Genomic DNA, 23345 nt, shown 5'->3' with positions numbered 1-23345 from the left:
GTTTCATTTGTCTTTTCCTATTTTTATGCCTTTCTTTCTATTACTCTCTTTTTGATCCGATATCGGTTACAATCGGCCTTCTGTATTCTTGGATTCCACATCCATGGATTCAACCAACCTCAGGCTGAAAATATTTTTTAAGAAATAATAAAAATAACAATACAACAATAAAAATATACAAATAGAAAACATGGTATGACAACTATTCACATAGCATTTACATTGATTTAGGTATTATAACTAATCTAGAGATTATCTAAATGGAAGATGTGCGTAGGTTATATGCAAATACAGTGATACCATTCTACATAAGGAGCTTGAGCATTTGCAGATTTTGATATCCACCTGGTTCCTAGAACCAGTTCTATCTGCTGATACTGAGGGACAACTATATTCTAACCTTCTTCATTCTCATTGGATTGTTGCAATACAGGAAGTGGAAGTTATCTTTTAACGAAAAACAAATCTTCAACAGAATATAAAAGCACTTGACACTGAAGAAAAAAATAATTCCAAAAAGAAAGTTTTCTTTGATAAGGAGTTTTCCTGACGGGATAATAATAGCCAAAGATTTTTGGAAAGTGAAGTTTCTTAAGTATGTTAGGTAGTCTCTTCAAAAATAATAGAAATTAAGTAATTAAAAACAAGGAAAGCAACAAATGGCTGTCAAATGCCCAGGCAGTGACATAGGTTGAGCTGATTTACTTCCACTCAGAAATGTGTGTGGTCCATGATTGCTACTCCTCAAACACCAAAATCCCTTCTCTTCACAGTGCCTTGTCTCTGGAACTACCTCTCTTCGGGCCTCCATCTGACCTCAGTTTGACTACTTCAACAGCCTTTTAAATGGACTCACTATTCTCAGCTGAAATCTTCTTCTTCGTTCATGTCCAGTGGTTATAATCCAGCCTAAAACATTTTAATGGCTTCCCTTCAGTAAGTGAATACCTGCTAACTTTTCACAATGAAACTCAGACATAATATATTTATGGAGCCTTGCATAAAACTTCTAGAAAGTAAAAATCCAAAAGGAACAGACCACTCTCTCTGTACAAAGCCACAAACTTAGAGGTGTTTGTTTTTTTGTTTACATGGCTTTCTCCCTCTGTTATACTGTAAGTTCCTCAAGAACAAAAACTGTATCTTACTTAAACTTTGTTTAAATAAGTGTTTAATTAAGTTTTTTAAAAATAAATAAATATTTCATTAAGTGTTTGTTTAAATAAGTGCTTGGCTCCAAATTAAGGATGCCACCAAGTAGGTAATTTGAAGTAATTATTTATAAAACCAATAAATAGCATAATGGTTAAGAAAGATTGGTGATTTTCTAAGAACTGGGATCCAATCCCAGTTCTGCCACTTTCTACTAGCAGGGTAATATTGGAAAAGTTATTCAGTCTCTGTAAGTCTCAATTTTATCTGAAAAATTCAGCTAGTAAAAACACCTAGTCAGGGTGGTTATTATGGAATTGTATTAGTCAATGATCTAAAGCCTTTAACATGATAACCACTTGAAAATAAGCACTCAGTAAATATTAAATAATAGTATTTCATTTGTATCTCCAAACCTGGTAAGATAATTGAATATAATTAAATTTCCATTCATGTTGGGTGGATGAGATAGCATCCCTCTTAGTATGGAAAAAAGTGACACAGTCTAGGTTCATGACAAACTCTTTCATATACACATAGTATTGATAATCCAGCTTTCCTTGGGCCCAAGTTTTCATGTAGTCATAGGTAAGTTTACATGTCACATTAGTGTGGTTTTACTATGATCATTCCATATCACTCATTTCCAAGGCATACTATACTTAAAGGATTTCTAAGATTTCATTTGTTCAGATAAGTTTTTGGGGTCAATTTTAAGCCTAGCTTCAATTTTCTATATCCCCTCTTTGTATTAATTCCCAATATTAAACCTGGATTCTTTCATTGATCACTGCATTATTTTTTTCCATAACATGTGTACACATTAATTTGAGTGTTCGTTCAAGTTACAGCACCTTAATTTGGAGGAAGAAAATTAAGAGAAGAGATGCTTTTCCATACTTGGTTGGATATCTCCCTGTCCCCTACCCCTGTTCTAGATGCACAAACCAGCCCACTCATGCTTCATCTAAGAAAACAGAAATAAGAGAATGTGGAAAGATTTTTTTCGAATATATCCAGATGCATACAGTACTTGGAGCAAAATTTAAATAATATAAAGTCTCACTCAAGGGGTAGTGGTCCCTTTTTACATATTAGTGTGTAGTAGTACATCAGTCTAGTTTAGATTAAAATTTTCTGAATGAAAAACTTAGTGAAGTGTTATTAACGAAGTATCATTTTAAAAAGAATGTAAGCCTCTGAAAATTATAACGTGTTTATAAACATTTTGTAATAATACATAATATATAAGGTGTTTAGAAACACACATATACACTTCTACATAACCCAGTTGCTTTTCAACATTTTTAAAACTTAAAGTTATAATCAACGTGATAAATAAAAAAATTCATACTTCATAGGTATTTTCACATTTGAAAAATTGAAAACTTCAAATAAAATATTGTGTAAATCCTAAAACATTTTTAACATTCGCTTTTTCAACTTAAAATAGGATTTGTGTTTTTCTAAAAAAGTAAAATTTGATAACAATAATTAAAATGTTCTCTAATAGTAATAACTTTGCAATGAAATGAGAGTATTTATTTGAAGAATTATCATTGATAATTAAGATTTTAAAACAAATTGAGTCTCTCTACACCGTTAATTCGAGGAATAAGGCAAAAACTACTTTCCCATTATATAAAATAAGGAATTATCGTATTAGCCCTGTATGCATCCCATTAAGGTGGTATGTTTACATATATATATAACACACACACACATATATATATATATGTATGTATCATTTAGGTAGATATATATTCATTTACCTAACAATATTTTGATATCATCTTCTAACAGAAATATGCCAATCCACTCTAAAAGTAATCACCTAAATAACTGTGTCATAGGTAAGTACAATATAGAGAATGGAGAATGAATTATAAAAGCTAAACAAAAGCTAACTGATTTAATAGGGAAACGACTGTAAAAGAAACCAAGGAAATGAGTAATGGCAAATAATTTTAAAAAATGAATAGATAGAGAATTTTTTTATTTTTAACTTTTGTGAGTACATAGTAGGTGTATGTATGTATGGGGTACATGAGATGTTTTGATAAAGGCATACAATGTGAAATAAGCATATTTTGTGGTATCTAAAAATCAAAACAATTGAAGTCATGGACGTAGAGATTAGAAGCAGAATGCTGAAAAGGAATTGCAAAAGGAAAAAATGTACAGACTAAATATAGAAAAAGAAAAATAGTTTTAACTCTCTGTACAAACTCTGAAAGGCAGTGAAAATCTACCACTGTGGGATGACTATAGTGAACATTAATATATTATATAGTTTCAAATAGCTAGTGAGTGTATATTGAATGCTCCCAACACAAGTAAATTATAAATGTTTGAGATGTTGGATATGCTAAGCATCCTGATCTGATTACTGTAACATATATATAGTGTAGTAAAATTAACTGTCCATTATATATAGTGTAATTAAAAGTAATTGCAAAAACTGCAATTACTTTTGCACCTACTCAACATATCTATAAATATAAACATTGGTATGTACCCCCCAAATATGTGCAATTATTATATGTCAATTTAAAATATGTATATTATTATTAAATATAAAAAGGGGGCTGTGAGACTCTCAGCTTCTGCCTGTATATGATCATTATTTTCTTTATGTTTTCTACTCCCCAGTAGTTGTAAATAAATGAAATTTACAATTTTGTTTGTTTATTACCACATCTATAAGTCAGGATTTATGCAAACATGTTAGATGCTTTTCACATTGGTGGAAATGGGTAGAAAATTGAACTGACCTCTGTATTAACATCTCACAATCTCATTTATTCTAATGGCCCCTAATTTAATAGCAAGACTAAATACAAGAACATGTCAAGCAGGATTTTCAAACAAATGAGATGATGTTGCTTTATGAACTGCAAATAAACATTTAATTGCACAATATTAAAAGGAAAAATACAATTAGAGGAATGTAACCTCTTCTTCAATGAAAATTTTGAGCAAACTACAAAGAAAGTGCCAACATCATCTACAATTCTACTAGTTTTTTATTGCTACTGGTATATAATTGTGAATTATAGCTCTATATAAATAATTTGTAATGAGTTCCATAATATCAATAAAAAGCAAATTAAGCAATCCGGTGAAATAATTCATATCAGAAATCTGCCATTTTTCAGTTTTGTCATATATGTAAGCCCATTTCCAAATAGTGTCTAATGAATTCAATTATGAATGTTAATTACATAACATTTTCTTGAGTCTGTACTTGTTCTCTCTGCCTGAATTTTTTTTTTTAATCTCACTCTCTATTTTTTGCCTGTGAGATATTCCTAGTTATCTTTTAAAACTCGGCCCAGGAATCTCAACTTTTATGAATCACTTGCTTTGATATCTGTATTAGTCTATTCTCACACTGCTATAAACACATACCTGAAACTGAGTAATTTATGAAGAGATTTAATTGACTCAGAGTTCCACAGGCTATACAGGAAGCATGGCTGGGTGGCCTCAGGAAACTTTCAGTTATGGTGGAAGGCGAAGGGGAAGCTGGCACATCTTCACATGGCAGAGCAAGAGAGAGAGAGTGAAGAGGGAAACGCTACACACTTTTAAACAACCAGATCTCCTGAGAACTTATTCACTGTCACAAGAACACCAAGGGGGAAATCTGCCCCCGTGATCCAATCACCTCCCACCAGGTCCTTCCCCTAACATCGGGAATAACAATTCAACACGAGATTTGGGTGGGGACACAGAGCCAAACCTCTCATACTATCTTATGAGAATTAGACATTTTTCTGTATAATTGCTATCTTTTATAAATCCTTTCTTAATTATTCTTTTTAACATTTATGTGCTTATATTTCTAGCTCCACTAATAGACTGTAAGCTGCTTGAGATTAATGAACTTGTCTTTTTTGTCTTTGATTCTCTAAATGCTGGGATATGCTATTTTATGGAGTTGAACTGAAGTCATGTATTACCTTTTTTTAAGGATTTTTGAAAGTCTTAAAACTCACTCGAAATATTAGCAGGCGTTATATTATTTTGCCATCAGAAGAAAATAATTAACATATATTGGCCTAATACTTCCAGTCTACTCTAAAGTGGGTAGAGCAAAAAGTTAATATACCTACTCAAAATCCTTCTGGTATGGAAGACTAGAGCTTTATTTCTAACATTAAAGAGAACAGTATTTCTTTTAACTGAACTGAGATGGTGTGAAGTCTTTATTTGAATTGGGGTTAGGACAGGAAAAGAACGGTAGTAAAAATCCTGTTAGAATACTGTGGGGTTGAGTTTTTACTAAGAGAAAGGGCAAGATGAAAGCAGTTTTAACCAGAGCTGTGCTATTTCCACTATCTTTCTCATTCTTTTGGTTTTTGCTGTGACACACTTGATTCTTAATTTACTCATCACAGATTATAACATACATGATAGAATAGGAAGGAATATTGGAAATGAGAGGAAAATTACATGCTCTACAATTTAGAAAAGGGTATTTTAAGAATGTTTGAGAAGAATAGGGTAGGATTGAGTCTCTGAAAGTGACTTAGCATATTAAAAGGGAGGGAAAATATAGTCATTTCAATGGAAGAGAAGTAGAGAAAAAGAGCAAATGAATAAAAAAAAATGTTTAAAAGAAAAGGGAAAAAAGGAAGCAGAGAGATGGGAAGATAAGATTCTCAAGATAGGGAATGGTGACAGCAAAGTCCATAGACATCAATGAATCTAACTTCAGTATCCCACTTACTACCACACAAGAAATATAGGCAATTGGGAGTTAAATACCTATTAAAATAGTAGCAGCAGTAGGCTTAAATCCCAATATTCTTGACCTTTTAATACAAGATTCTCTACACAAAAAAAAGCTGTGAGAAAACACCGTAAGAAGATAGAACATCAGTACAGAAGTGAATAAACAGTGCCCTTCAGTTTATTTTTGTAAATCACTGTTGACAATTTCAGTGAACTGGATTTGATACCTCAGGATTGAATATACAGATTTATCTGAAACTCTTGACTTCACTGACATAAGAATTGAGGCTCACTGTTTTTAAACTTCTCAGAGACAGTGGAGTTTTGAGTTTATTTTTTAAATGTTTTCCCAAAAGTTGTCTGAATGATGAAAAGCAGGGCCTAATTTAGTTAAATTGTTATCATAATAAATATGGTGGTTCAAAAAATGTTAGTCAAAACTCTGTGATGGTAGACCTATAGGAGGAGTGGTTTTATAATTAATGGCACATATTAGATACAAGTGATTTTACAGGCAAGAGGCCTTAAAGAAAATTCCCAATAGATAAGAGCAAAATCCTTCCTTTGAGAGGATAATTTACACCTCCTAGACTGATGATAATTTCTGAAACAGAAATTAAAAAACTGAATCTCCATCAGTTTTAAATAAAAATTTTACACTAACTAGTTACATATTTTAGGACTTTTAACCTTCAATTTAAAAGCATCATGCCATCAAAAAGCATGTAATGATAGCATTTCACAGTGATAGTCATAATATAAAACTTCAAGCTGTTTTTATATATTATTCAATGGTTTACTTTATAATGTTATACATTTATTTCTGTCTCTTATGTAAACAGGACTTTTGTGGAAATTGAAATAAATATCTACGCAAATTAGAATAAGGGACAATTGTGTCTTTCATAGTAAGAAAGCACCTATTTCTTCTGGTCACATGGCCCTCCATAGAAAAGGGAGCTTTCTCTGACATCACAATATAGTTGAGTAGCCACATGTACCTGTATAACAAGTCTCATTGGTTTTCTTGCTTGTTTTTAATATTTCAGTAATACAATGATATTGATTCAGAAGTGTCTTATAGAAAGGAATTTACTTTTTTTTTAAACCGATCACTTAACATTTTAACTCATAAAACTATTTTAGGAATGTGTTTTGGTTAGGGAGTCCATTAAATTACAAACTATAGGAAATCATCTCCATAAATAGCAAGCCATTTTTTTATCCTTAATCAATTCTGCTTGAGTTGTCAGAAAACAAAAACAACAAAAAATATTTTTAAATAGTGACCTTTATCACAAATTGAGAACACTAACTTTATTTTCAAGGCAAAATATATTTTTGCTTCCAGCAAAGAGCCACTGGAAAAAAATCAACAGCCACAAAAAAAAATCCTGTTTATACCATATGTTTAAGTGATAGCAAAGAATGAAAGGCAGTTAATTCTCTCCTACTATTTACTTATTTCCCCTCAATAGATAAGGATAGTCAGCAATCCTGCTTGAGTAGCATACAATTAAAGGTTAAGCTTTCTCCTTGGGAGACTGTGATGCGTAGGCAACTACAGTCTTTGACATCAGCCATAAGCACACTTCTATTTTAGCGATGTGAGAATAGTAAGTTGTAATTGTATAATGCTATTTATTGATCTTTCTAGAAAGAAACAAAAACATGTTTGCTTTGGGTTTTTAAATCCCTGGCCAGGTGCCCTAAAGGAAGTATATTGTGAATTAAAGAAGTACATTTCAAAACAATACCTATTACTATTTGAATACATAACAATTTTAAATATCTTGTAATGCTCCATGCATTCTATTTGTATAGAAATAGCTGTGACACAAAAAAATGTCAGCTGTCAAAGACGTAATACAACATCTCAGGAATAATTGGTGGTATGATTTTAAAAGCCCAGAAAGTTGCAGTAGACACTTCTAGGCTGATGAAGATCTCACTTAGGAAAACTACTTATGCATTTCCTGCTAACTGAGCAGAAAATGCTCTCCTTGGAAAAGAACCACTGTGTAAATGTCTTCTAATATATTAAAAAAGATGAAATGATTATTAGCACACAGGCTATATTTGTAACCATATGCCAGATTTAAACAACAACAACAACAAAACCCTGTAATCCACGATGATTTAAGAGATCAGGAAGAAAATGAAAGTATAATTAGGGTAAGTTTAGGTTTTATTTATTAAAAAAAGGCATTTTATTAGCAATTCTCATATAAAATCCACAATTATACAGAAAGTAGCTATATTATTATCTATACTGAAATTATCTGAGTTCTTATGAGAAAGATATCGAGAAAGCATATTGAAGGGTTTGTCATTTCAAGTTTCTTAGAGTTTTTGGCTAGAAAAAAATGGCAAACACAACACGTCCTCAGTTAACATTGTCAATAGGTTCTTAGAAACTGTGACTTAAGCAAAACAACGTATAAAAATACCATGCTTTTTCTCAACATTATAAGAAAATGATGTTGAGCAAAATGATGTTATTCAAGGACCTGCTGTATGTCCTTTTGCTTAATGTCACAGTTTCCAAGAACCTATCAATGATGTTAACTAAGGACTTACCATGTAACATTCCTACGATAAAAGTTGACAAGTTTAATGGGTATACTTGATGTTTCATAAGTATACCTGATAAAATATTTTACTTTAAACACTTATTCTTTCATTACTCAGTTAAAAAACACATATAAGAAAGAAAGTTATATAAATATATGATTTATATACTATTTATATAAAACTTTAAAAATTAAAACAATAGACAGAAATTTATGGAAAAATAAATATGTGGTAAAATAGATACATATGAGGAAGAAGGGAGGAAAATAGGTTAGCGTTATATATATGAAGCTTCAAATGTCTTTTATGTAATTTTTTTCTAAAGAGATCTAAAAATGTCAAAATAGTAATAACAATAAACCTAATTAGATTGCATTTTCCCCCACATTATTCTCTACTGTTTTTAAATATTATATGTCTTTTGAAAAAGAAAAACAGTGAGGTAAATGCTCAATTTTACTAAATCCAGTAAAAAACTTTCAGGAGATATATTTCCAATTCAAAGAGTTTAGACTTTCAAAATGAGTCCTGAGTTAAATGCCTTCATCAAAAATATAGGAAGATCACAAATCTACAACCTAATGCCACAATTCTAACAGTTCTATATGTTATAACTATATTTACACTAAAAGTGTGAGCAAGACAGAAAGGAAAACAACAGCAGTAAGTGTAAAAATTATTTGAGACAAAAATTCTATCAGTATCAGAAATAACAATTGTAAGAGTCAGTTCCCTTCCATTACAGATGGATAGGTTTTATTTCATCACCCAAAGTTCTGTGTGGAACATTTATTCAAATATCTAGAATCGTGTACATGAAATTTCGGAAGGGAGAAGTAAAGAGAGGCTGGATAATCTTTCTGAAGAACTGAAGCATTGTAGGGTTCACTGAATTCCCTCTGTAAATTTAACTAATGAGTATTTAACTAGCATACTTGTTTACACCAGTGCTTCTTGTCTCTGGAAGAATATCTGCTGACCCCATTATCTCGATCACACAGTATTTGCCTTCTCAATATCTGTGTCACTGTATCACATCACATATACATTGAGTGACTTTTCTGGTTTGGGCTATTTTTGTTTATTTGTTTGTTCAAATTATTATAAGATGGTCAGCACTTTCTGGGCCCTGAAGCATATATTAGTCAGAGTTCTCCAGAGAAACAGAACCAAAAAGTTGTGTGTGTATATATATATATATATATATAGTGAGATTTATTTTAAGGAATGGGCTCATGCAGTTGCGGAGGCTGGAAGTCCAGAGTGCAGGGCAGGCCAGCAGGCTGGAGACCCAGGAAAGAGTGACAGTTTGAATCCAAAGGCAGGCTGCTGGCAGAATTCTCTCTTCTTCCATGGAGGTCAGATTTCTTCTACTAAAACCTCCAACTGACTGGATGAGACTCACCCATACTATAGAGGGTCATCTGCTTTACTGTAAGTCTACTTATAAATGCTAATCTCATCTATACCTTCACAGAAACATCTAGAGAAATGCTTTATTAAACACTTGGGTATCTTGACATAGCCAGGCTTGATACATGAAATTAGCCATCACAAGTAAATACATATTTCAATTACAACAGAATAAAATTTTGGGTAGACAAGATGTATGTATACACATTTTTAGGCACAGAAAACTCAAAGTTTAAAGAAAGGTAATAGAAAGGAAAGGAGAGAATATACTAATTGACATAGGTAATCAACTGAAACCTAAGACTCTGGAAAGCAACATAATAAGACGTTTGTATTTCTTTACTCATGCAGTAGTACTTTTCACTCCAAAGTTGTCCAACTAAATATTGAAGGTAGATTGCAAACAAAGTGGTTATGGATGGTTTGCATATTGCCAGACATTTTTCACTATATTAATTATGTTACGCTAGTATATAATACACTTCAGGATGTTAAGGTCTTAGTGGATATATCATGTGGACTTTGGCATATGTATTTGTATATTAAATTATTTATAACAATTATATGACTTACATATTTGAATATTGATTTATTTAAAACACGTTTCCATTTTTATACTTGCATCACAATGATCTTCATACTTCTTACAACCTATAAATTTTAAGTTACTGTTTTACCTCTTTTGCTATGAGTTAAAAATAGTGTACTGTATTAAATTAAGTAATGTATGCATGATGACAATTTTTTAAATACAAAATGTTTCAAAGATAACTTTTCATCAGGCATTTGCTTAAAAAATAATGATACTGAAATAAAAAGTGCTTCAGTTCTAAAACCAAGTTTGAGACCATAGGACTTAAACCAACTTGCATTCATCTCCTGTTGTGGGATCATTACCTGCTCAGAGCATGGAAGAATGAAGTCTCTACCTACATTCTTTAAGGACATTTTATTTATATTTCTGCCGTAACCCTTATCACATGGACTTTTTTTCTTAGATATTTTCCGAATAGATTTTGAACTCTGACACCTTTAAATTTCCAAAACACTGGACACAGCAGTTTTTACATGTAGCAACTTCTTAATAAATGTTGGGTGAGTGAATAGAGCAATAAGAAAAATGACAATTATCTTTATCTGCTACTACCCATGTTCCATAAACAAGTAAAAATTAAGATTGCTATATGAAACCCAGAAGTGATTTAATCTAGAATTTTAAATTTGTTGTTTGTTCCTGTCACGAACCTATTATAAAGGGAATTTTAACAAACAAATGAAACAGAATACAAAACAAACACAAAAAATGGTGGAGCCTGGCACCCTAGGCCACCCCTTGTGAGGTTGCTTCTCAAGGGACTCCATGTGCCACTGTGACTCCTAAAAGCAGTTTAAAATTTACCATTAAAGACTAATCCCTAAATTGTGCAGATAAGGTTCCTGAGGATGAAAATATTTATATGAAATGACAAAGGTCACAGACTTAAATATTTATATGAAATCGCCAAGGTCACAGACTTAATTAAGTGGCTGAACCCAGGCCTAGAACTAGGATCATCTGATTCACAGTCTCTTTTTGTTCTCACCGTGCCTATCATAGAGACTAATTATTTTTGCAAAATTTAGCTTCCCTATTTATTTTTGGAATAAAATCAAAGAAAATTTAAGGTACAAAACATTTCATTCTTATTTTAGAATAAAAAAGACATGACCATTTTTCAGCCAGGAGAACTTTTCAGCATAGTTCAAACGTATCAGTTGTGTTGAAAGAAAAGTCCTTCATGCTATTCTAAATGCACAATTCATGACTGATTTAATCACTTCCCTTTATGTCATAAACTCTTACTGAAAAATAACTTCACTTATTCTAGGTGCTGAAATTATTTGCAAAAAAATTTACAATGGCAGAAATTATTTTTCATTTCAAAGCACTGAAAATTTGTAGTAGAGAAATTTCTTTAAGGGGGAAGGTGCAAGAGTGCTACACAAATCCTTGCAAACAGACAGGCATAGATTCATCACAATTACATTCTGAAGACACTTTCTCTTTGTTCTCTGCTTGTGATGCTTTCGTGCCTTTTCTCTTGGAGGCAAATGCCACATTTTTAAAAAAAAGGTCTCAGCTGAAGATTGTTATCAATCTTGAATTCACAAGCTACACATATAATGTTCCTGTCCCATAGGTGATGCTGTACAATTACTTGTGGAATGCAACTTTAAATAAATTATAATGAGTAAGTTATTGCTAAATTATACCCTTCCTCAGGATGAGACATCCCTTAATCAAGTCAGCTAAATACTTAAGTCCGACTTGTGTATGTAGATGAAGCCTACATCTTTCGATGCGCATAAAAGAAATATATTTTTCTTCTCATATATTTATTCATTCATTCTATACATATTTACTCTGTATAATTACTATGCAAGGTACTAAGCCAAATGACTCAGAGATAAACTTTGCCTTCAAGTTCCTTACAATCTAACACATAAACATAAATAATTCAATGGAAAATGTGAAAAGTGCTATAAAAACAGCATAACTAATGTATCACAGGAATTCTTTGATGAGAAGACAGTGATTTTTCATATGGGTAAGGAAAAGGCACAGAGTTTAAGCCAATTGAACTTGGTTTTAAAGAACAGTCAAAAACTGAGGTGATAGAGGATAGTAAAAATAGAGAACAAAAAATTACAAACAGAAAAAATAAAGTGACCAAAAAAGTGACCTCAAGGTAAGAAAACCTAGAATATCTAGAAACTATAACAAGAAGCTCATGCCAGTTGTAAGGAATGTCGAAAATAAGCCTAGAAGATAAGTTGGAGACAGAAATATACACATACACATATAAATAAATGTGTGTGAGAGTGTGTGTAAAGAGAAAGATAAATATTTAAGAATTTTAGGCACAAATATTTCATAACATACCTGTTATTTAAGAAGAAAAATGCACGTGTGTCTAAGGTACACAAGAAAGGGATACAGGAAGCAGGATGACTAGTAGTTGTTATCATAACATAGTTAAGTTGTTATCATAGCATGCCAGGAAGAAGTAAGGAGAAATGGAACCTGTGTTCCCTACTAATATACAGTAGCTTGTATATTGCTGTAATTTACATATTGCTTATTATTCCAAACATAAGGCATAACTGTCATATCATATAGATCCCAAAAGTGATACATAGATTAGATCTTTTTAGATTAGATCTTTTGTTTTAAAGCCACACCTCACACATATCTTTTCTTTTTCATTATGTAGGTTGGTATTGAGACCTTTTCCCCTGAGTTCTGCATCCTCTACACTACCTAGTGTATTCAGTGAACACCAACACTGTAGGTTTGAATTTAGTAGAAAAAGAGACTTCCTAATCACCAAACTTGACTAGTCTCTCACGTATCAAGTCTTACTTTTAAAATAGATTTTAAACTTATATATAAACCATTCAATATTTTTTTCCGTGCAGAATTGGCTGTTATTGTCAAATTTCTCATGGGAGTGCATTTTCCCATTCTACTAGAGCCACAAGATCCTAAAGGAATAATGGAAGAAAATTTAGTTCCTAATATATATTGTATAATAGTTCATATAAGCCTCTTATGTGAGTTTATTTTACATTATTTATAATTTTCCCCTACTCATTTCCAAAAATGCTAGAGGGATTTTTTTTTTTCTGGGAAAGCTGCCAAAAAAGTTCATTTTATTGCTTCCATTGAGAAATACCTTTAGCACTTTAGAGAGAAAGCTTTTCACTGAAATATAATTTAGCAACTTGGAAAGATGGGAGAAAGTTCTAAATTTTTGACATATCGTCCACCAACTGATATAACCCGTTTCCAAATATATGAAATAAGCAACCTACATAAAAGATACAATCTTTGCAAACTGCTCATTTAAAAAATGCAACAAGTGGCAGCAGTTTGTCTTTTGTAAAAGAGAAAAATCACTGTAATTAATCAATCAAATCGCAGGCAGCAATAAGATCATACAATTTACTATTGCATTCTAGTATCAAAGTGTGACCTAAACTTTATTAGGCACTGCCCCTCCACAAGCATAACAAAATTCATCTCAGGTGTATTCTTGAGTTACATGAGGATGCATTTAGAAACTCTTCCCCTCTCTCGTGCCTCACTGCCCACCACTCCGGTACTGCTTTCCAAACCCTACCTAGACACAATGGTCTCCCTCATTTCCTTGAGCACATGCTCCTCTCCATTTCAGAGCATTCTTCCATGTTTCTATTCCTGCTCACCAGAACGCTCTTCCTGTGCGGTTTCCCTCTCGCTCACACCTCATTCTTCTGACATCTGCTCCAGTACCACTTCCTCAAGGACCTCTCCCCAGGCCCAACACTAGGTTCACGTTATATCCTCTCCTGATGGTGTACTTCTCCTTCTCACATTCTTCCCAGTTGTAATTCACATAATTGATACTCTGGTGGGTCGTTTGGGGTATACAGAGTATTAGAAAATAAGATTTTCTCTGAATATAAGAATCCTGGAATATAAGTTTCACAAGAACACGGAAATGTCTCTGTTGTCCACCCGGCACTTAGTAACTGAGTAGTATTTTGGCCACAAACCTCAAAAAATACTTGCTCAATAGATGCATTAAAACATTACTCCAAATGAAAAATAAATAAAATTAGAAGTATCCTTTTTATTTCACATAAATTCTAGTGCCTTTCAAAGATATGGGCTCTATTAGGATTTTTCTATTTTAAAGTAGTTTTAATGAATAGAAATTTACAGCGGTGCTATATAAAAGTAGCACTAATTTTCATTCCATAATCATGAAGTTGTAAAACATTTACAGCTAGACATACAGTAGAATCTTAACCAAGTAGGAAAACAGTTTAAAATCAACCTCTTAGAAATAATTTTTTTTAAATACTCTAGTTTGGTTTTATCTGAGTTTTTGGGACAACATAATATGTGAATAATCGGAAAGTAATCCAGAGACATTGCAGGGGTGCAGATTTTTCTTTTTTTCTTTTGAGACGGAGTCTCGCTCTGTCCCCCAGGCTGGAGTGCAGTGGTGCGATCTCGGCTCAATGCAAGCTCTGCCTCCTGGGTTCGCGCCATTCTCCTGCCTCAGCCTCCAGAATAGCTGGGACTACAGGCGCCTGCCAACACGCCCGGCTAATATTTTGTATTTTTGGTAGAGGCGGGGTTTCACCGTGTTAGCCAGGATGGTCTGGATCTCCTGACCTCGTGATCTGCCGATCTCGGCCTCCCAAAGTGCTGGGATTACAGGCGTGAGCCACCAGGGATGCAGATTTGATGGGAATGTTCCATGCCATATAGCAACCACTGTGTTTGTATATACATAGCATTCACCTAACATTTTTCAGAGGTTAATAAATGTATTAATTTTAGTTATATTTATGCTTCATTTGATCAATAAAACTGTATTTATATGGAGAATCACAAGATTTTTAAAGTTGAAAAAATTTATATAAGGAAACTTGTAAGATACTAGCCAAATTTATCCTTATGCATAATGCTCATTTTCATATAGTTAAGTACTTTTCTCTGTATTCTTTGCTGATCAGGTAATGAATAATTAATAGAATTTGAAGCCAGGTGTCCAATAAGTGGAAAAAACATACAAATCTAATTATTTTGTCATTGTTTTAATGTGGGAAAGAAAAACACATTTATGACTTAGACACTCAAATTTTGTAAGTAATAGCAGAGAAAACAATGTGTCATTATTATTTATATTTCTCTAAAAAAGTAAATTATCTATATGTCATGTACTATTATGACATAGTACTGTTTATTTAAACACTAAGAGGCATTTTTGGAGAAATCTAATTATGTTTTGGCTGTGGCCAAAGTGTGCATGCTGTGGTTTAGTGCACACATATTTGCAATCATATTCAGTTTTGTAATATTGTCTTTGAGCCATAATCACTATTTTGATTTCAGTAAGAAAGAAACAGTCAGTGGTCTTAAGTTTTTAAGGACAGTATAATTTAGCTTTATTAAGTTATACATTATATTTAAAAAATCTCAAACATAGCTTAAATGTTTTCTACTTGTAAAAAAAATCAATCAATATTTGAGAGGAAAATTAAAAGGTAAGCCGTAAAATTTAATTTCTGGATGATAAAAGCCTTTCACAAACACTAGGTAACTCTCTTCAACAATGTGCACTCCTAGGTAATATTACGCATCTTTTTATGTCCTCTAATATAGTACATGGAAATTTTAAAACATAAATGAAAGAAATCCATGTCTTTACAAATAACTTTATATGCATAAGAGTAACACAACGAATATGTTTCAACATGTACATTAAAAATCATTTGGTGCAATAAATATACATCGGTTTTTGATACTTATGTATGCATATATGTATATGAATACATATACATATGTGAATATACATACGTGAGGCCATACTCTGTATGAACCCATTCTCTGCTAATGACTGAGCAAGATAGCATTAGCAAGACAGGTCCATTTCTAAAAGATGTAATACTCCTCTGACAGGCAACTTTGGCACAATGACTCCCTGTTGGCCTGGCCAAAATATTTTAAAAACTATGCTTCATCCAAGATTCTGTCAGTCCAACTCTCCTTCCTTCTCTCCCCTCCTTTCCCAGGGATCAGAACTGCTTCAATGTTTGATGGTTCTTCCTGCCTCCTTTATTTCCCTCTCCTTCTTCTTTCACAGGCATTTTCCCAATAAATCTCTTGCATGATAAATTCTGACATGGTATTTGCTCTTTAGAGGACATGATTTAATGCATGTATACACCCCCACACACACACCCACACAAATGCCACATATTCATAAGTAGAAAATCATACATAAGTTACATGGATACATAGACTAACAAATGCATAAGTGTATGCACACACACACACACACACACACCTGTCAGTCTATCTCTATGTATCATATATAGAAACATACATATATATATATGGTAAATATATATATATGGTAAAAAAATATATATGGTAAATATATATATATGGTAAATATATATATATGGTAAACATATATTATATATACATGTATCATATATATTTGCTATCTACTCATGAACGGGCAGGTAACAATTCACAAACTATTATTAAGTACTTCCAAATACAAGTTCTCACAAATTGTTATTATATGTATTAGTCTCACTTTCATGCTTAAAATAGCACAGAAAACTTCATAAAAAACTTACATTAAAAACCTAAAGAGGGCCGGGCACCTTGGCTCACCCCTGTATTCCCAGCAATTTGAGAGGCCAAAGTGGGTGGATCACCTGAGGTCAGGAGTTCAAGACCAGCCTGGCCAGTCATGGCCAACATGGTGAAACCCCATCTCTACTAAGAATACAAAAATCAGCAGGGTGCAGTGGCATGCCTGTAATCCCAGCTACTCAGGAGGCTGAGGCAGGAGAATTGCTTGAACTTAGGAGGCAGAGGTTACAGTGAGCCAAGATCGTGCCACTGCACTCCAGCCTGTGTGACCAAGTGAGACTCTGTCTAAAAAAAAAAAAAAAAATCTAAACAGATTTACCCTTGCTAAATTTGCTAACCAAAGCATGACAGAAAGGCAATGTTGACATTAATAATAGAGAACATTTCCATATATACTATAAAGAACATTTATGTGGCATAATATTATTTTTATTAAAACTTTCACTGTTAGGGCATCTGTGTTCAATAGCCAAGTATATAATGGTAGCTTTCCACAATGATGTATGCCATGACACTGCTTTACCTGTCTTTTACACTTATACATCCTTGGCTTTTTGCAATCCTGAATGGATAATAAATTAAATGATGAATGAATGGATGACTATGTAGTGATTCAACAATGCCAGCAGAGTCTCACATTCATAGAAAAACATGGTTTACAGTGGAGAAAGCCAAATCACAAGACAGCCTAATCCTGGATTTGTTTTAGTGCTTATCTGGCTATATTACAAACATCTTATCTTGTGACCCTCCCAAAGTCTAATTTTCTAGGCTCAATTTGAGATGAATACTTAGGCTCTTTTGATATTTGGACAATACAGGATTATTTTGTGAACATACCCTTCTGCCTAATTTTCCTGAATTATTGCTCAATGTTTTCTTAATCTGAATGTTCCAAATTGTCAATGTGTCATAATTTAAGCCTGAAACCAAAGATGAACTCCACAATGAAGCACTCATGCATATCATTGGTGAAATGGGTTTCCTTTCTTTGTAGCACTCAAAGGATTTGCTTCTACTTCTATTATGAGTTTATCAAATTCTATATATTAAAATAATTTATTACTTCTACCCTGAGCACATTCATTAAAATGTGGGAAGTGATTGTACCTCATTGAAATTCTATTGTATGCGTGTATCTGCATGTTGTAAGTGATTTATATACTATAAAAAAATGTAAATGCCTAGTGGTCAAATAATTTTTCTTACTCTGTTTTATCTTTCAAAATATTGGCTTCAGCTATTCTGTCTTCATTCCCTTAGATGAATCCTTTCTAAATTGAGCGTGATTCTAGACAAATTATGATGATTTAATTAATATCACTAATATTTAGAATTACCGGCTTTCATGTTCCACCCAGAATTCATCAGTCTGATTCAAACACGTATTCTCCAATTATCTGTGGGCACTGTACTCAGAACCAATGTACATTCTTTCTTTGTCAGCTCCACGGTCAGGCTAGTCTCTTCAGTTCAAGTTCTACTCTCTAATTCCCATAAATAAGAACTTATAATTAAAGGCCTGGGGCAGAACCTAAGTGAATTATGGTGCTTGACAACTGCAAAAGTGCATTGCATTGAAAGGTGCTGAATATATTTGTTAAATAACATTTCTTTATGAGTGAACTGAATAGAAACAACTATTTGTTTTGTATGGTCACTATAATAAATTTAAATTAAATTTATTTTAATTTAAATTTATTTAAATATTATTTTATTTTTATTTTATTTGAATATTTATTTAAACTTATTTAAAAATTAAATTTATTTAAATTTATTAAAATAAATATTTAAAAATTAAATTAAATTAAAATTTATTTTTAAATTTAAATTTATTAACACACTTTTACACATAAAAACTTGATTGACACAGATCAACATAAAGAAAGAGAGAGATTTAAAGGAGGTTATTCAGAAAAGTACCATTAAGAATATTGAAAAGTGATGATATCATATGAGTAGAAAAATCAAGTGAAAAAAAATAGTCTCATTGTGCTAAAACTATGCCATCAAAGCCCACCTCATAACAAATACAATTTAAAATAAAACACAAAGTGAAGCTGAAAAAACAGAGAATGGAGCACAACAAAGAACAGGAGAATACAACTCAATGAGCACTGTAAATCAATGAACTTACACTGGTCTATCTCTGAAGATGAATGAGATAAAAATGGACCTTTTTTGCCTTCATTGATTTTTACTGTTCATTGAGTTGGATTTCTCTGTTCCTTCGAGGTCTTATCATTTGATTTCTACTTCTTTTTCAACCCCTAAGCAAGACTTTTGGCAATCCTAAAGGCATTATGAGGACATGCTTAATGCCTCACTGCATTCTACTTCAGGAAATTCATCTATTCATTCTACTATTATAAATTCTGCACCTATTATACATCAGGCACAAGATAGGTACACCAGAAGATGAAAATATGACATTATTATAATATCACACTATTATTGATAAAATTTTTGTTTTTAATGACTAAAACTACTTTATTTTCCAACATGATCAGAGCTAAACTTTTGCTTCTAAGGAACAGTGACCAAACTTAGCAAAGTTGAAAACAAAGCTGAAATTACTTTTCATATCTGACATATTTGATACCCATGATAGAATATTAAAACGCTGAATCAAGATGAATTATGTTTTACATGCTCTTACTGTGAGCCAAGATCCTAATTTTCTTTTAATCTAATTGCTTTCTCTGAAATTCAAAGCCAGCTTTGATGGAATTGCTTTGATAAAGGTGCTTTTCCAGAAGGAGCCAACTTTTCTCACTGACTAAATTACTCATACTAACCTCTGGTGCTCTAAAGCCATGACTTAAAAATTAAATATAATGGTAGGAAAGAGTTAATGAAGCTTCTAGAGATTCCTGACTGTTCTGAAATATAAATGAATTTGGCTTAAGTGTTATATATATATATATATATATATATATATATATATCAGTAAGAAAAGATAGACATATTTGATTATATTACAAGTAAAAACTTGAGTATAATTAGTAAAATTAAGAATAAATATGAATATTTTTGCAGTTATGACAGAGTTATTATTATATGAAGAGTGTATACAAATGATCACAAAATACTGAAGTTCCTATTTTCCAAAAAGACATATTTTAGAGGAGAAAGGCAAATGTATTTCCCACACATGGAAAAAAATTTTCAACTCATCTCCACTAATACAATAATTTGTATTTCACATGGATCTGACCATGAAATATTATTTTCAACTATCATATTTTATACAAACTATAAAAGATGAGCTCCAAATTCAAGGAAAAAGTAAGGCTGTGTACTGGATGTTTCCCTATCTTGCTGGCAGCACTGTAAGTTATGGAAATCAACTTTGCATTACAAAACAAAAACTTAAAAATGTTGAGTCTCTTTAATAATCCCACTTCTGAAAAATTATCCTAAGGAAATAATCCAAATATGGTAAAACCTTAGTGACATGGAGATCTAAAGCAGTCCTATATGTAGGAGCAAAACCCAAGAGTAAGCCATATATAATGTATAATTATGGGAGAAATAGCTAACTAAATCATGTTACCCAATAAAATATTGCACGATAATTTCTAGTTATATTTATGAGAAATAGGTAATAATGTAGAAAATATCATAATAAAATATTAGTTGTGGAGAGGGATTATCTATTACATGAGCAATATGACTATAATAATCTTTATAAATAAATATCAAGGATGAAAACCTGAGGCTCCAGAATACTGGAAGTGATTGTGAGGAATAATGAGATTGAAATTGATTTTTATGTATTAGTTCCTTTAAAACATGTTCCTGTTAATTAAAATGTTTTAATAAAATATTTAAATGTGTTTATGCTTTTTACCCAAATATATCTTACATAATTTTTACCTCATTTATTTGATTTTAATAATTGAAATTTTTGGAATTTTTCATGAATTCCTAAAAATAAAATTTTCATAAATTCCATAAAATTAAATTATTAAAATCAAATAAATGTAGTAAAAAATGTCTCTTCCATTTATGTAAATGTTTATTTTTTTAGATGTTGATCTTAATATGGATTTAGTACTTGTGTACTATTTTCCTAACTGGGCTAGTTACTTAATTTGTATATAATTTGGTAGGGATGTGATGAAAAAATTTACTTTAAAAATCAATACTACTCGGGCTGGGTATGGTGGCTCATGCCTGTAATTCCAGCACTTTGGGAGGCCGAAGTAGGAGGATCACTTGAGGTTAGGAGTTCAAGACCAGCCTGGCCAAGATAGTGAAACCCCATCTCTACTAAAAGTTAGATGGGCATGGTGGCATGTACCTATAGTCCCGGCTATTCAGGAGGCTGAGACAGGAGAATCACTTGAACCCGAGAGGTAGAGGTTGCAGTGAGCCGAGATGGTACCACTGCACTCCAGCCTAGGCAGCCTGGGTGACAGAGTGAGACTGTCTCAAAATACATACATACATACATACATACATACATACATACATACATACATACATAAAATAAAAATCAATACTACTACTCTACAGAAAAGCTTTACCCAAGCATGTCTTTGCACTGGTCATTTCATGTAAGTTTACTTGATCATGAGGTCTTATGTTAGAAATGCCTTATTATTTGACTAGTTTTCAACATAAGTGATATGTTTGTTTTTGTTTATTTGTTTAAAGCACTTCAGCTAGTCAGCAAGGGTTCAGAATATTTGAATTTTTGATCCTCCTCCACCCCAAATTTCTGCTTTGAAATTCTAACCCATAAGGTGATGGTATTAGGAGGTGGGGCCTTTGGAAGGTTATTAGGTCACAAGGGCAGAGCCCTCATCACTGGAATTAGTCCTTTTATAAAAGAGAACTCAGAATGTTAGCTTGCTTCTTCCAACATGAGCAGACACAGCTAGAAGGTACTGTCTGTGAACCAAAGGACAAGCCCTCACCAGATTTGGAATCTGCAAGCACTGTGATTTTGGACTTCTCAGCATCCAAAACTGTGAAAAATAAATTTCTGTTGTTTATAAGCTATCGAGTTTATGATATTTTGTTCTAGCAGCCCAAGTGGACTAAGATAAGAAGTTAAGTACTGTAAGAGCCAGCTATTCATAAAGCAAAGATAGGAAAATAATAGAACTGTGTGGGCTGGTGGAAAAGGCAACTACTACTTGGTTTGGGAAATAAATCTAAAGGGACTCTAGTGTGACTCAGAGCACTTGACACCCTTCAGCTGTTTTTCACTTACATAGATGCACACAATCTGCCCTTAGAAGGTCTGCCAATAGTTTGCCTTGGGAGGTGTTACCATAGCCATTTCTGAAGATAATTTTATCTTCCTTTTCCTCTAAGGGGTCTTAACCCTTTATTTCATTGGACTAGTTTTTTTCACTTATAGAAGGAAACCATATAAACAAAGCAAATCTATTTTTGAGGTCTTGAGGTAATGTATTATCACATAAATACAAACTGGAATATATTTTATCTAAAGTTATTTTTGCAAACCCAATGCATTACTATCTGCAATCTTATTTATGGTTGTTTTAAAATATTAAAGTAATATCACAGTTATAAAAGTACTTTTAAAGAGGATAAAAATACATAGAATCATAGGATTCTGAGTAAGGTAATCTAATTTAGTGTTTCTGAACCCTTGCTGACTAGCTGAAGTGCTTTAAACAAACAAAATCATCAGGCTTTATAGCAGATCTGTTGGACAGAATCCAAAAAGGGATGGTGCAGGAGCAAATCAAGGAATTGGTGTTACTTCGAAGGTTATCAGGTAAAACTTGAGAACTTCTGCTGTTAATCATTCATGCAGAGCAGATATTCTTTGCATGATATTCTCTGCATTTCACCCAAGTGGTCCACCAATCTATGCAAGGTGTTGCAATAGAACAGGCTGTAGACTTAGAAGTAACTCTATGTAAGTTCTCCATGAGTCAAGTAAATATACAAAATGTAGTGGAGCTAGAGCCACTGGATAGTAACTAAGGAGACCTCAAAAACAAGTTCCAACAGTGTGTACAGCTTGGGGTTCACTCTAATGGAGGCTAGCTAGCTTGGATTCAGATTGAATCTCCCATATCAGAGAACTTTACAATAGGTCCTCTAAAGAATCCATGAATGAGCCTCATAGGAGAGCCACACAGAAGTCTGCAAAGCAGAGAAAGCAAATAAATGATAGTATTAGTAAATGTTGAATAAAGATACACTTAACACTTTCTGCTCTCTCTTCTCTGACCTAACATACTGGAGCAACTATATATCAAAGAGAAAGAAGAGA

The 23345-nt window shown here is 32.5% G+C and overlaps 1 protein-coding gene across 5 annotated transcripts in view; it reads right to left on the bottom strand.

Annotated features, from left to right (window-relative positions):
• The window catches only part of GRID2 (glutamate ionotropic receptor delta type subunit 2), a 1506491-nt gene that overhangs the window by 1340750 nt on the left and 142396 nt on the right, over positions 1 to 23345 (bottom strand). The gene's annotated exons all lie outside the window — the stretch shown is intronic.

Source organism: Homo sapiens, chromosome 4 (assembly GCF_000001405.40).
Source record: "Homo sapiens chromosome 4, GRCh38.p14 Primary Assembly".
Classification (NCBI taxonomy): Eukaryota; Metazoa; Chordata; class Mammalia; order Primates; family Hominidae; genus Homo; species Homo sapiens.
This window is presented reverse-complemented; position numbering and strand designations above follow the sequence as displayed.